This window comes from Homo sapiens, chromosome 21 (genome assembly GCF_000001405.40).
Source record: "Homo sapiens chromosome 21, GRCh38.p14 Primary Assembly".
NCBI lineage: Eukaryota > Metazoa > Chordata > Mammalia > Primates > Hominidae > Homo > Homo sapiens.
Window position 1 is genome coordinate 43,386,121 of NC_000021.9, and position 14,626 is coordinate 43,400,746.

Consider the following 14,626-nt stretch of genomic DNA (forward strand, 5'->3'; position numbering starts at 1 on the left):
AGATGGGACACCGGCTGGAGGATGCCCACAGCCCATGGGCTGGTTGCTGCTGTCTCCCGCCTGCCTGCCAGGGGCACAGCCGGGGGTTTAGGGTGCAGCCTCCGGCCCGCTGGCTCAAGTTTCCAGAAGAGTCTGCCACAGACAGATCTCATGTAGCAAAGGGCAGAGGCCAGAGGTGGACTCCACACGGGCCTGCAATGGGTGACTGTGGGCAAGTCACCAAACCACGCAGGGCCTCCTGGTCACCGACCAGTCACCACCCCTGTCCCAGGGTAGGTGATGAGACAAAGCCCTTCCCTTGGCCCTGGCAGAGAAGTGAGGAGCAGCCGCTCTGCCTTAGTTTATAAAATGGGAAGAACAAGTCCCTGAGGGTCAACGTTTGGGGGACCCTGCAGAGACTGGGCACAAAGTGTCCTGCACATCTAGGATCAGGCAGGTGATGCTCAGACAAGTTCCAAACACATGGGGAACCAAAATGTGGTTGCCCCAAAATGTGGTTTTGGGGACCCCAACACCTGGGGTGGGTGGGCACAGCGTGCTCCTGTGTTGCTGAGAGCCAGAGAGGAAGTCTCCAACCCCACAGGGCTTTCCTGATCCGGGCATCTCGGCCCGGGGCCTGGCTGCTGGGCGGGCCCCAGGAGTGCCCCCATGGAGGGCCTTCTGGGATGACATTGGCCTGTGGCCACTTCTGCAGCCCCAGCCCAGCCTTCAGGTCTCTCCTGCTTCAGAAGCCCTTGGCCATCCCCAGGCACCTCCCGGACATTGCCCAGAGCGGCGGCCCTAAGACGACAAGAGCTGTGATGCCCCGTTGGTGCCGCTAGGACTGCCCAGCCCTCCTGCTGCTCCGTGGACCTCCGGGGTCTGGGATGGGTGGGTGGGGCCCTTCCTGGTGACTGGCGTTTACTGGGCTTCTGTGGGGCCACCAAGCACCGACACAGGGTCAGAGTGAGGAGCGAAAGCCCTGACGCCTGCCCTCATGGGGAGTCGGTCTCCTCTGGACACGGCCTTGTTCCAGTGACCACAGAGGCTGGCGAGTGCCACGTGGTCCCCACTGCATCACACACCTCCCACGCCCTGCCCGGCGTCAGGGACAGGAGGCTCAGGGAAGCGAAGGACACTGCCCAGGGGCACGGGGCTGGCCAGGGCTCGCCCAGGCCTGCCTGCCCCAAAGCCCAGCTCCTCTCTCCACCCGGCTCCTAGCTTTGTCCCAAAAAGCCGGAAGGACCAGACACTTGGTTTGGGGCAAAACTTAAGTGGGAGGGTGCTAAAAAAAAATCAAGATCAATAACATTTTAGTGTAATACTTTTAAAAATTAAAATTAATGCACAATTCATGATGAACGAAATGTCAAACTTCTAAACAAGTCAAGGCCCGCCTCTGTGTGGCACAGCCCTGGGGGCGAGTGCTCAGCCCACCCCAAACCCCTGGGCCGGGCTCCAGGGAAATGCTGCCAGCTTCCCACTTCCAGCAGAGCCAGCCCCTCAGCTGTGAGACGGTTTCCACAGCGACCAGCCCAGGTAGCGGGGAGGCTCTCCAGTTCAGGGGATGCTAGGAGACACTGGGAAGGGGGATCCCTGCTGGGAAGAGCCAGGAAGGGGCTCCACAATTCCTCTGGAGGAAGCACGACCTCCAAGGATGAGGAGAGGAAATCCCTCCAGCCCAGGAATTTCCCAAGCCAGAGCTCTCTGCCTCATGAGAATGGAGCCACCGTCCCCAGCGCCAAGGGAGGCTGCTCCCTCCCTTCCTCCTTCCCTCCCTTCCTCCCTCCCTCCCTCCCTTCCTCCTCCCTGTCCTTGCCCCCCGGGAGCCTAAGAGCTCGCTACCTGGGGTGAATGCCCAGTAGACCGTGCAGTTCTGATTTTCTCACACACTGCACTTTTGGATGATTACTTATGGATGCTAGCCATTACGAAGGAAGCAAAAAGCCGTGTGCAGTGCAGGACTGAGTTTGCTTGATTAAAAGGCCTCGCCAGTTGCTGACGCCCTGGGGTTGCGTCTGAGGGGCGGTGAACGTGGCCTCCAGATTTCTCTTGCTGCGAGGCTTGGGCACATCCCGATGGCAGTTGGCTGTGGGGTGAACGGGGAGTGCCAGGCAGGAGGCAGGGGCCTGGCAGGAAATAGATGTTACATGCAAATTGAATCACTTAAGGAGCATTTAATAAAGGAATTACAAGAACAGGACAGACTTGGGAAACCAGGAGGGATGGGTGCTCAAGGGGCAGCCCGGGCAGGAGAACCGCGTCTTCCCAAGGCCTGGAGAGGGAGGGCAGGAGCCAGTGCCGACCCAAGCCTTGTAGCTGTCGGTAAGAAGGCCTGGACAGGAGCCGCTCCCCACCCCTGACACACACAAAGGACACAGTGAGTCCCAAGCCCTTGGAGGGCAGTGGAAACGCCCCCTTAACAGGCAACGTTCTTCCGAGAAACAGAACCAGGGGGATTTGTCCCGGCTTTCCTGACATGAAAAAAACAATAGGCGGTTCATATACACGTATATATATTTAGACAATAGGCGGTTTACATACACATATATATGTTTAGAGAACAGACGGTTTACATACACGGATATACGTTTAGACAACAGGCAGTTTACATACACGGATATATGTTTAGAGAACAGGCGGTTTACATACACGGATATACGTTTAGAGAACAGGCGGTTTACATACACGGATATACGTTTAGAGAACAGGCGGTTTACATACACGGATATACGTTTAGACAACAGGCGGTTTACATACACGGATATACGTTTAGAGAACAGGCGGTTTACATACACGGATATATGTTTAGACAACAACAGGCGGTTTACATACACGGATATATGTTTAGACAACAGGCGGTTTACATACACGGATATATGTTTAGACAACAGGCGGTTTACATACACGGATATATGTTTAGACAACAGGCGGTTTACATACACGGATATATGTTTAGACAACAGGCGGTTTACATACACGGATATATGTTTAGACAACAGGCGGTTTACATACACGGATATATGTTTAGACAACAGGCGGTTTACCTAGACGGATATATGTTTAGAGATTTATTTTAAGGCATTGGATCCCGCAATCATGGGGGTTCAAAACCTGCAGGGCAGGCGGCAGGCAGGAGACACGCAGTAGGGCACGTCACCGTCTTGAGGCAGGTGTTCTCAGTGAAACCTCGGTTTTCACTCTTAAGGGCTTCCTTTGAAGGGATGAGTCCCTCCCAGAAAAATCGAGGCTAATCTCCTTCAGATCATCTGATTGTGGATATTGAGCTCCTCTGCAGGACACCTTCCCAGCTACACCTGGGCTCATGTTTGAGCACTTAGGTACTGTGGCCTGGCCAGGATTACAGGTAATGCAAACCTCATCCTCCCCATTTTGCCTCTCCCATCCTGGGCTTCTCTGCCAGGGCTTCCTAAGGGCTGAGCCAGAGGCGGAGAGGGCCTTGGGGGCATGCAGAGAGCTCAGCAGAGCAAGAAGAGGTCAGCCAGGCTGGGGGTCCCGGCGACTCAGGCAGGAGCCTGACGTTTAATTCCAGGTCTGCAGGAAACCATCTTGAGCTCCAGGTGGGAGAGGGTTCCCTGTGATCAGATTCTGAGCCTCGGGCGGGAGAGCGTTCCCTGTGATCAGATTCTGAGCCCCAGGCGGGAAAGGGTTCCCTGTGATCAGATTCTGAGCCCCGGGCGGGAGAGGGTTCCCTGTGATCAGATTCCACAAAAGAAGAGCTTCTTCCTTCCCCTCCCATTCCCAGTCACCCATGAGACCCGTGGCTACCTGGTGGTGGCATGTGGGGCAAACGCCTGTGTTGACCACCTGGGAGGTTTGGTTTCCTCCACTAGAAAACTGGAGAGCTGAAAACATGTCCTTGTAGAACATGTGAAATGACCTCCTGGGGTGCCTGACGCTGCCCGTGCGGGCTCTGGCGATGCCTCAGTGGCTTCCTAAGACACCCTCCTTCACCCCGTACAGTCTCCGGTGCAGAGATGGACGAGCTGGGGGACTCAGGCAATTTCCCCCACAAAGTGTTGCAATGGATTGAGAACGCCTCCCGGAGTGTCTGAGGCCACCTGCATTTTCAGAAGAAAGTTCCACTTTCTTCAGAACAGATAACGTGGTGCTTTGACTGCCATTGTTATCTGCTGCACCGAGTCAGGAGAGGCTGGGCCGTGACGTGACGCAGTAACAAGCAAACCTCCAAAATCTCACAGCTTAATCGCGCTACAGCGTATTTCTCTCTAGGGCAAGCAGCACACGGATTGTCAGGGCCCTCCTCCAGGGTCACTGGGGGGCCGGGTTCCCCATCTCCTAGTGCCGCCCTCACAGACATGCCTCCAGGGTCCCACGGCAGAGAGGGGCCTGTGGAGGAGGCATGCAACCTCTGAGTGTGTTGGCAAGCCGACTCATGGTCCTTCTGCTCAGAGCCCATTGGCCATGGCTGGTCACATGGTCCCAACCTCACCTCGAGGGACGCTGGGCCTGAAGGAAAACACACAGAATATTTAGAGAATTCTCCTGCCCTTCCTCTATGGAAATGTGGGACAGCTGGGCATGTCTAAAATTAATTGGTTTTTAAGAATGTTCAGTAAGATCCCATCCTGGGAAGAAAACCCTATTTAAAAATATATCATATAGAATATATAAAACATATACACATACAGATATAGACTGTGTGTGTTTTCTATTTCCATGTAGCAAATTACCCCAAAACTGAGCAGTGTAAAACAACAAACCTTCATTATCTTACAGTTTCAGAGGCTCCAGGATTTGGAAGAAGCCCAGTGGGGTGGCTGTGGCTCAGGATCTGGCACGAGGTTGCCGCCAGGACGGCAACACCTGCACGTGCGACTGGGCTGGGGGATCCGTTTCCAAGGAAGCTTGCTCACATGGCTGCTGGGGAGAGGCCTCCAGTCCTCACAAGGCCATTGGTGGAGGCTGCAGCTCCTCACAGGCTATTGGCGGGAGGCCTCAGTCCCTGGCCTCATAGGCTTCTCCACAAGGCTGCTTGAGCATTCTCCTAACATGGCGACTGTCTTCCCCCAGAGTGACCCCAGGGAGAGCAAGGTGGGATCCACAAAGCCATTTGTGAACTAGGCTTGGACATCACTCACTGTCACACAGGCCAACTCTGATACAATGATACCAGGACGCTGTGATGGCCAATTTCATGTGTCACCTTGACTGGGAAGAGGTGGCGAGATATTTGGCCGCATGTTCTCTAGGGTATCTGTGAGCTGTCTCTGGGTGAGATCAGCATTTGAGTTGAAGGACTGAGGAAAGTCCATGGCTGTCCCCTGCGTGGGCGGGCATCCTCCAATCCCTTGAAGGCCTGAGCAGAACAAAAGGCTGAGGGAGGGAGAGCCCACTTTCTCTGCCTGAAGGTCTTCAAGCTGATGGGATCTTGTCCAGCCTTCAGATTTGAACTCGGCTGCATCATCAGCTCTCCTGGGTCTCAGGCCTTCAGACTCAGATGGTGACATAGGCCCTCCTCCGTCTCCAGGTGGCAGGTCTCAGGACATCTCAGCTTCTGTAATCACATGAGCCAGTTCCCTGGAATAAATAAACCCGTCTCCTACTGCTTCTGTTTCTCCGGAGAACCCTGATGAATACAGCTATGGAGGCTGGCGGGGAAGACCCCAGAGACATCCTGGAGGCTCCCACAGAGAGAGGGGGGTGGTGCAGGGTTTTATTTCCAGTAGGAATTTTACTAGAGCAGCGGAATTGATGACTAAGGTCCACAGATGAAAATGACAGAGGTTCCAAGCAACCCCCAACACCACCCAGCACAATCTCCACATTCTAAGAAACTCATTAGACCCAGACACACAGCCTGCAGGGCTGAGCAGGACTGACCCGCCAGTCACCCAGCCGCAGCCCCAGCCTCTGTGTGGGGATAGGGAGGTCGGAGTCATCAGAGCTGGTGGCTCATCAGGGTACCAGCCCAGAGGGTGGAGGGGAGCGAGCAGGAGAGCACGCACACCTCTGTCCCCACCCCAAGTCTGGAGAGACAGCAGCCTCACCCCGGGGCAGGGGAGCATGAGCAGGACAGAAGATTCGAGCTTTCAGCTGGGCTGGGCTGCATTTCCACAGTTAAAAGTGAGCAGACGGCCGGGTGCGGTGGCTCAACGCACTCTGGGAGACCAAGGCGGGTGGATCACAAGGTCAGTAGTTCAAGACCAGCCTGGCCCACGTGGCGAAACCCTGTCTCTACCAAAAATACAAAACATTAGCCAGGTGTGGTGGTGGGTGCCTGTAGTCCCAGCTGCTTGGGAGGCTGAGGCAGGAGAATTGCTTGAACCCAGGAGACGGAGGTTGCAGTGAGCCGAGATCACACCACTGTACTCCAGCCTAGGCAACAAAGCAAGACTCTATCTAAAAAAAAAAAAAAAAGAAAAAGAAAGTGAGCAGACTCAGGGGAGTCTGTCCCAGGGGCTGTAAGGGACAAGGAGGGGAGTATGACGGGGCTGGCTGAAAGCTGCGATTGGCCAAAAGAAAGTAGTCTGTACTCATCCCAGGGCTGAGGCTGGGCCAGCAATAGTATGTAGACAGCACGGCCCAGGCAGGTGACGGTGTGTAGACAGCACGGCCCAGGCAGGTGACGGTGTGTAGACAGCACGGCCCAGGCAGGTGACGGTGTGTAGACAGCACGGCCCAGGCAGGTGATGGTGTGTAGACAGCACGGCCCAGGCCGGTGTCGGTGTGTAGACAGCACGGCCCAGGCAGGTGACGGTGTGTAGACAGCACGGCCCAGGCCGGTGTAGACAGCACGGCCCAGGCCGGTGTCAGTGTGTAGACAGCACAGCCCAGGCAGGTGACGGTGTGTAGACAGCACGGCCCAGGCAGGTGACGGTGTGTAGACAGCACGGCCCAGGCAGGTGACGGTGTGTAGACAGCACGGCCCAGGCAGGTGACGGTGTCTAGACAGCACGGCCCAGGCAGGTGACGGTGTGTAGACAGCACGGCCCAGGCAGGTGACGGTGTGTAGACAGCACGGCCCAGGCAGGTGACGGTGTGTAGACAGCACGGCCCAGGCAGGTGACGGTGTGTAGACAGCACGGCCCAGGCAGGTGACGGTGTGTAGACAGCACGGCCCAGGCAGGTGACGGTGTGTAGACAGCACGGCCCAGGCCGGTGTAGACAGCACGGCCCAGGCCGGTGTCAGTGTGTAGACAGCACAGCCCAGGCAGGTGACGGTGTGTAGACAGCACGGCCCAGGCAGGTGACGGTGTGTAGACAGCACGGCCCAGGCCGGTGTCGGTGTGTAGACAGCACGGCCCAGGCAGGTGACGGTGTGTAGACAGCACAGCCCAGGCCGGTGTAGACAGCACAGCCCAGGCCGGTGTAGACAGCACGGATGCAGCCGGGCTCCAGCTGCTCGGCCATGTCCGTGGCCTGCAGAATTCTAAGAAAAACAATGACAGGTAGTGTGTGTGTTCATCCATTCTCGCATTATATAAAGAAATACACAAGGCCGGGTGCGGTGGCTCACGCCTGTAATCCCAGCACTTTGGGAGGCCAAGGCAGCCGGATCATGAGGTCAGGAGATCCAGACCATCCTGGCCAACATGGTGAAACCCCATCTCTACTAAAAATACAAAAAAAAAAATTAGTTGGGTGTGCTGGTGTGCACCTGTAGTCCCAGCTACTTGGGAGGCTGAGGCAGAAGAATCACTTGAACCTGGAAGGCGGAGGTTGCAGTGAGCTGAGATTGCACCACTGCACTCCAGTCTGGCAACAGAGTGAGACTCCATCTCAAAAAAAAAAGGAAGGAAGGAAGGAAAGATGGAAGAGAGAGAGAGAAAGAAAGAGAAGGAAGGAAGGAAGAAGGAAGAAAGGAAGGAAAGAAAGAAAGAGAGAGGGGGAAGGAAGGAAAGAAGAAAGAAAAAAAGAAAGAAAGAAAGAAAGAAAGAAAGAAAGAGAAAGAAAGAAAAGAAAGAATGAAAGACAGACAGACATGAGACTGGGTAATTTGTAAGGAAAGAGGTTGAATTGGCTCATGGTTCTGCTGGCTGTACAGGAAGCATAGCAGCATCAGCTTCTGAGGAGGCCTCAGGAAGCTTCCAATCATGGCAGGAGGCAACAGGGGAGCAGGTGTGTCTTCCATGGCCAGAGCAGGAGGAAGAGAGAAGAGAGAGTGGGGGCAAGGTGCACATGCTTTAAAATGACCAGATCTCACGAGAACTCACTGTTGTGAGGACAGTACCAAGGGGATGGTCCTAAACCATTCATGAGAAATCCACCCCCATGAGCCAACCGCCTCTCACCAGGCCCCACCTCCAACACTGGGAATGACAATTCTGCATAAAGTTTGGGTGAGACAGAGCCAAACCTTGTCAGTGTGCATGTATTTGTCTGATTTAAGGAGCTAATTTATAGCCCAGTAAATAAAAAGAGAAGATGAAGAAAGGAGTTAGGAAGGGAAACGTTCAGACAGAGTGAGCTAGAAACCCGTCCGACTACTGCAAACTGGGGTTGGTGCTGTTTCCCCACAATTAAGAGTAGGTGGGGCCTAGGGTGTCTTTGCAATCCTGTCGCTGCAGCTCCTCGTGGGGTGGGGGCAGGCTCAGTAGCCCCTGCTGAGCAGAGGGCCTCTCCAGGCCCTCAGGGACAGAGGGCCTTGGGAGGATGCACCCCCAGCCAGTGCAGGGAGGCTGAGGAAGCTCCCACTCAATGGCAACCACATTCATTTGGCCTCACAGTCCACCCCGGGACTTGGGCGGTCCTGTTAGCAATGACAGGCAGCAGAAAGCGTTTCCATGTAAATTCCTACAAAGCTCTGGCTCTCTTGCTCCGGCTTCTATGATTGGAGCCTGGAACACGGATTCGAAGGACCTTCAGTCAGAAAGGGGACCTGCCACCTTCACGGCAGCACCCAGAGAGCAGCTTCCACGGGGCTGGATCCAGGACCCTAAACCATGGCCCCGAGGCTCTGCCCCTCTGCCCAGGCTGACGCCACGTGTCCTGCCCAGAATAACCAAGGCAACCAGTGACCGTGTCCGGTTCAGATCTGCTCTCCCACTGTTCCCAAATGAGCTTCGCAGGCCAGAGGTTTTGACTTGGAACTGAGCGAGATGAAAACTGTGAGAAGGGCCCCAGGGCAAGGAAGCCCTTCCCTCCCCCGCGGTCAATTCTGCTGCAAAATTTATTCCTGTCCCTCCAGGCCACCAGCGGAGGGAGAGCCAAGGCCCAGGAGGCTGCATGAAGAAACCCCGGCCACCACACCGTGTCCCCAGGGCCCACATGCTCCACTCTCTTTGGTCAAAGAGTCCCTGGTGCAGCGGGGTGACTGGTCCATAAAGATTGTGTCCACTTATGCGCCAGGCACGGGCAAGGGGCTGGGGATACCGAGAGCCTGGAAATGCACAACCCTCCATCACAGTGCTCGCCCATTTGGCTGGGGAGGTGCACACACTGCCCAGCCTCCGTCCTCCCCTTTGCAAGGCAGCAGATAAGTCTCCCTTTTCTATAGGCTGACCCTATCCTGTTATAAGGAGGCGCGTGCTCCCTCGCCAGCCGCAGTGATCAGTCCTGGGAGCTCACACAGCCCAAGCTACACCATTGGAAGTCCCTGGGAGACTTGTCCACAGAGTGAAGGGAAAAACGGCCTCTTCTCATCAGGGCTGCTAACCTGGGATTGCCAGAGGCCATCCCCCACTGCATGGAGAGAGAGCTGACACCCTGAATGAAGTCAAGTAAAGACAAGCAGGGCTGAGATGCCGGGAGAGAGACAGAGCTTTGAGTGCATTATTGAGGTCCTGGATCCAGCCATGCCTGCAGCTGCGCCTGGGTGAGATAGTTATAATAAGCCAACAGGCTCCCTTTTGGCTTACGTTCATCTGAGTTGGGATTCTGCACCAAGAGAGCTCTCCCTACCGCAGATAGGACAGCACTCCTGCAGTAATGCCGGATTAATACAATAGGTGCGCAGACAGGGGTGTGCAGAGGTGCTGTGGAAATAAGGCGGTAGGCAGGACTCAGGTCTTAAAGGATGACAGCAGCTCTCCAGGCAAAGGCCCTCAGAGGGTTCCAGGCAAGAAAACTGCATGAGCCTCAGGGAGAGGCAAGGGAGCAGGTCGGGGCACATACAGTTCACAGTGGCCATGAGGGCCGCATGCAGGCCACAGGCAGTGGAGGGGGCGGGTGCAGGAAGGCAGAGGGTGATGGTGGGAGCAGCACCTCCACTTTCCATCTTGGAGCAGAGAGGTGGTTAAACACCCACGACACACACTCACAGCAACCAGACATAATTCACAAATAGCCCCTCCTGTGTTCTCTCCCAGCAGTGTGAGGGGGACGCAGAACCAGTGTCTCCTCTTAAAATCCCCGAACCCTCCCGCTGGCTGGCCCTGAGCAGCAAAGAGGACACCTGCGCGGCCTTCCTCTCCCGGCCCCTAACTGAGCCACGGCTACATCCCGCTCCTCCCACCAAAGCTCTTCGGCCAGTCAGCCCTCAGGCTCCAGCGCGGCTCGGAGGGGCCTGCCCCTGGTATAGCGCCCATGGTCACTGTCGGACACTCTTAAAACAACGGCCGTGTTTCTGTTCTGCGCTGGGCCCTGAAGCTCATGTCATCAGCCCTGCCGGCTGTGGGGCTCCCGGATTCTCTGACCTTGACCCATGCTGCAGCCACTCCGCCTGTTTCCTGGGGCTGGTTTACACCCCGAGATGCAGGGAAGGCCCAGCTGCGGAGCCCCAGGGAGGCCAGGAGCTGTTCACAACTCCAGGAAGCCACACTGGGCCTCAGTTGACGAAGAAGGCGACACCTTCGTGTGGGCCTTGCCTGCTAATCGGTGTCCTCAACCCAAGGGCACAGGCGCCGCTCCCAGGCCGCGCAGGCAGAGTAGAGCTGGGGTGGATGGCAGGCTTCAGGGACCCAGCCCCGATGAGTCACTTGGAAGGCATTTGCCCCAGAGCTTCCCTGGCCACTGCGCCTCCTCCCGCCCCAATCCAGCCCCATCTGGGTCCGAGCCTCTGGAGAGGAGCTGGCAGGTCAGGATGCGGTTCCCGTGCTCTTGCCTGTGTGTGGGGACCCGAAAGCCAGGCTGGTGGCCGAGGATGGCGAGCACAGCCCCAGCCCCTCGGCCTAGCGGGAGCTTCACGGGACGGTGCTCCCCCCACACCGTGGTGTTGCTTCTGTGGCCCCCTTCAGGGCCCACAGAGGGAAGGGGCCTGGCTCTCCCACGGGGCCTCTGTAATATTTAACCATAAACCAAGGCTGCGGGGAACCCCCAGTTTGCAGTAAACTTCCATTTCTCTCCACTGGATGCGCAGGACTCCACTCAGCCAGGTAGGAGAATCTGCACTCACCTGGTTTCCGGAGCAAGGAGGCTGATGGCATCAGGGACTACCTCCCCTCAGCTTCCTCGGGCCACGCAGGAGTCCCCGGCCCGCCTCCTCCAAGACAGTGTGCGCATTTTGCCCGAGACAACACGGGCCTCAGACCGGGTACCGTGCCCAAGCACACACGGGCACACGCCCCTCCCACCTCCGGGCCATGTCCTGCCAGAGTCCACCCTCCTGGGCACAGGGCAAGCTCAGCTCTCAGCTCTCCCTGCCTGGCTGGCAGCAGCTGCAGCAGGTCACACCAGCAGCTTGGGCTCCCAAGAGCCTCGGGACCCCAGAACCACAGGTGGCCTGGCCTCTGGGGATGGTCGGGGGCTGAGCGTGAGACCCCAGCTGGGTGGCAGAGGCTCCAGTACTGAGGATTCCAGGCTGTGGTAGCACTCCACTGCAGGCCGACCTGCAGGCCAGGAGGAAGGGGCCCGCCGCCCAGGGTGTCTGTTCTAAGGAGCGCAGGGACAGGGCCTCCCCTGCAGGCGAGGCCACAGAGTGGGCCACCTCCTCCTCCCTGACCCCTCCTCCCAAGGGGCTTATCCTCCTCTGCAGGGCTGGTGTTACTCCCCCAAAGCCATCACCCCCCTGTGTCACCTCCTCCCGTGGCCACTTGGAGAAGTGGTCATTGTGGTCACTCCCCACTGTGGTCACCTCCCCCCAGGTGACCTCCCCACCAGGTCAATTCCCCACCAGGTCACCACCCTACTATGGCCTCCTCCCCCAGAAGTCACTTCCTCCTGTGGCCAGCTCCCCACTGTGGTCATCTGCCCCCACATAACCTGACACTGTCAGGTCATCTCCCCGCTGTGATCACCTCCCCCAGAAGCCACCCCTTCCCGTGGTCACCTCCCACCAGGGTGTCTCCCCCCAGGTCACCTCCCCACCAGGTCACCTCCTCCTGTGGCCAGGTCCCTGTTGTGGTCATCTGCCCCAGGTATCTCCTCATCAGGTCATCCTCCCCTGTGGTCACCTCCCCCAGAGGCCACCTCTCCCTGTGGTCACCTCCCTCCCAGGTCACCTTTCCCCCAGGTCACCTCTACCCCACACTCATGCTGACCAACATGAGGTGCCCTTCTCCTGCCGGGAGCCCGCCCGGTCACCAACACTCCCCCTGGGGCTCTCTGGCTCCTGACCTGGAGTCACTAGGGCCAACCCCATCAGACATGCTGGACAACTTTATGTGGGTCACTTAATGCCTCTGAACCTCAGCTTCCTCTTCTGCACGATGGAGACAAAAACATTTGCTCTTCAAGCCTGTGGTAGGGACCAGGTCAGAGTAAACAGGAAGACAGCTTTCGGCCAGGCGGTGCACCTCGGTGCCGGTGAGTGTGAGCGTGTGTGCGTGTGCACGTGTGCAGATGTGTGTGGACGCTCCCTTCTCCGCAGCAGCTCCTGACCCCCTGCAGGTGACCCTCAGCCAGCCCCAGGGCTGCCCCCACTCTCCCCTGTGGACACCTACCTCATTTGGGGTGAAGTGGGGGGACTGGGGTGTGAGGGGTGCTTTGGGGGGCACACTTCGACCCCTCTCTCTGCAGGCCAAGTCCTGAGGCTCAGTTTCCTCCTCTGTGCCCCGGCGACGTGGTGCAGGCCTCGCGAGTGACGTGAGGGTTCATGACCCAGGTGTGGGCAGCCAGCCCTTCACGGGAGGCCACCCACCTGGCCACAGTGCCTGGGAATTTAGGTCGGGCACTGCCGATATGTCGCCTTCCACAAGGCGGGCCCGGGCCTCTGCTGACCGTGCACCGGTCCTGGGGCTGGGTAATTCTGCAGCAGCAGCGCAGCCCATGCCGGGGAATTTGCGGGCAGAGGAGACAGTGAGGCCCGCGTTCTGTGCGGGAACTCCCGAGCTCACAGAGCCCAAGACCACACGGCTGCATCTGCTTGGCTGACTGGGCCAGGCCCACGCGTAGTAACCCGGACGTCTCTCTCTCACAGTCCCCTTGCGTCTGGCCAGGGAGCTGCCAGGCTGCACCCCGCGGTGGGGATCGGGAGAGGGGCAGTGTCGCCCATCCCCGGAAGGCTGAGCCTGGTGCAGCCAGGGAGTGAGGGGGCGGGAAGCCGGGGTGCTGCCCTGAGGGTGCCCCGACACGCTCTCCTGGGGCCCTGAGCGGCTGCCACGTGCGTCCAGGGTTCTGGCCACAGGGTGGGCAGGGGCCCTGTGCTCCTCACTGGAGGCCCCTGAGGCTCTGGAACTGAGACCATCCACCCGCCGGCCCCCTCTCGCCGGCTCCGGCACCCCTGCCTACTGTGACTTCCTGCCCCGGACTCGCTCTGCCAGCTTGGGGCAAACCACTTCCCTCTGGGGTTTTCACTTCCCTCTTTCCCAAGTGGGGAAAGACCACCTGTCCCCGACCCAGAAAGGGCCCCTGCCCGAGGGCAGCAGCAGTGCCAGGCTGGCATGTGAGGCTTGGGGCAGGCCCGGCCCCCAGAGGCACAGGGCGATGCTCTGTGGGACGCTGTGTCGTTTCTAAGTACAAGGTCAGGAGAGGAGCCCCCTGACCCCGGAGGGGAGGAGAGGCAGGGCAGGAAACCGCCACCATCTCAGCCCACAGGCCTGGCTGCTGGGAGTTGCTGACAGCCCGCTCCTCCGGGGCCCCCAGGCCCAAGGCCACCCTGGGGTGTAGCTGTCCGCTAGGCCCTCTGTGCTCCCGGTCAACAGACCCACAGGGCCTGCTTGGCGGAAGGGGAGGGGTGTTAAGAATCAGCCCCCACAGAAAGCATTGCCAGGGGATTTTGTACCAAACCGAATGCACGGGTGGACGGGCAGGGCCTGTGGATGCGTAGGCCAGAGGGAGCGGAGCGATGACAGGGAGCCCCCGGGGTGGGCACGGAGCACAGTCCTTTCCCTCCCAGCAGGCACCTCCCACAGCCTCCCCACCTGCCCTCCGCCATCCCAGGTCGCCCCGACCCATCTGCTGGGGTCCTCACCCGCAGCCCATGAGTCTGGCCGCCAGGACGAGTGCCTATCAGCAGCCTAGACCCTGACCGCTGGAAGGTTGGGTTCTGTGGCCCAGGAGCAGTACCTGGCGTGCCAGGAATGAGCCCCTCTCACCACAGCCTCACACCCAGCCCCAGTCACACCACTGGGGACCGGGCTGGCCCCGGACACAGGCCCACCAGTTCCTCCACCCCTGATTAGGCCCTTCTGTGGTTGGGGTGGGGTAAGCCCTGCCCTGCCTTGCCCCAGAGGCCTTCCACCTCCATTCCTGCCCTCCCTGGCCTGCCCTGAGTGGCCAACTCCCCACGAGGTTTGCCCCCTGCTGAAACCCTCCCCATGCCCGGCTGGCACCGCTGTCCCATCCA

The 14,626-nt window shown here is 58.4% G+C and overlaps 1 long non-coding RNA gene across 5 annotated transcripts, besides 4 other annotated features; it reads right to left on the bottom strand.

Moving 5' to 3' along the window:
* LINC03039 (long intergenic non-protein coding RNA 3039) lies at positions 2,479–13,524 on the bottom strand. 5 transcript variants are annotated; one of them, NR_176219.1, is made up of 3 exons: positions 12,783–13,524; positions 4,725–7,393; positions 2,479–4,470 (listed from the first exon to the last, which is right to left on the bottom strand). It is a non-coding gene; the product is annotated as a long intergenic non-protein coding RNA 3039 (long non-coding RNA). The 5 variants fall into 5 exon arrangements; NR_176220.1 differs by lacking the exon at positions 12,783–13,524 and adding an exon at positions 11,297–11,427 and having other exon boundaries at positions 4,739–7,393; NR_176221.1 differs by lacking the exon at positions 12,783–13,524 and adding an exon at positions 11,297–11,427.
* Positions 5,015–5,215: a silencer, noted in NCBI's record as "peak4419 fragment used in MPRA reporter construct". NCBI's record gives its function as "represses an SCP1 promoter by STARR-seq MPRAs in K562 erythroleukemia cells {active_cell/tissue: K562}" and the evidence as "EXISTENCE:reporter gene assay evidence [ECO:0000049][PMID:32103011]".
* Positions 11,000–11,548: an enhancer, noted in NCBI's record as "H3K27ac-H3K4me1 hESC enhancer chr21:44817000-44817548 (GRCh37/hg19 assembly coordinates)". NCBI's record gives its function as "activates a minimal SCP1, AML or CMV promoter by ChIP-STARR-seq in primed H9 embryonic stem cells {active_cell/tissue: H9 hESC(primed)}" and the evidence as "EXISTENCE:reporter gene assay evidence [ECO:0000049][PMID:30033119]".
* Positions 11,549–12,097: an enhancer, noted in NCBI's record as "H3K27ac-H3K4me1 hESC enhancer chr21:44817549-44818097 (GRCh37/hg19 assembly coordinates)". NCBI's record gives its function as "activates a minimal SCP1, AML or CMV promoter by ChIP-STARR-seq in primed H9 embryonic stem cells {active_cell/tissue: H9 hESC(primed)}" and the evidence as "EXISTENCE:reporter gene assay evidence [ECO:0000049][PMID:30033119]".
* Positions 12,515–13,191: an enhancer, noted in NCBI's record as "H3K4me1 hESC enhancer chr21:44818515-44819191 (GRCh37/hg19 assembly coordinates)". NCBI's record gives its function as "activates a minimal SCP1, AML or CMV promoter by ChIP-STARR-seq in naive H9 embryonic stem cells {active_cell/tissue: H9 hESC(naive)}" and the evidence as "EXISTENCE:reporter gene assay evidence [ECO:0000049][PMID:30033119]".
* Positions 13,525–14,626: the final 1,102 nt, after the last annotated feature.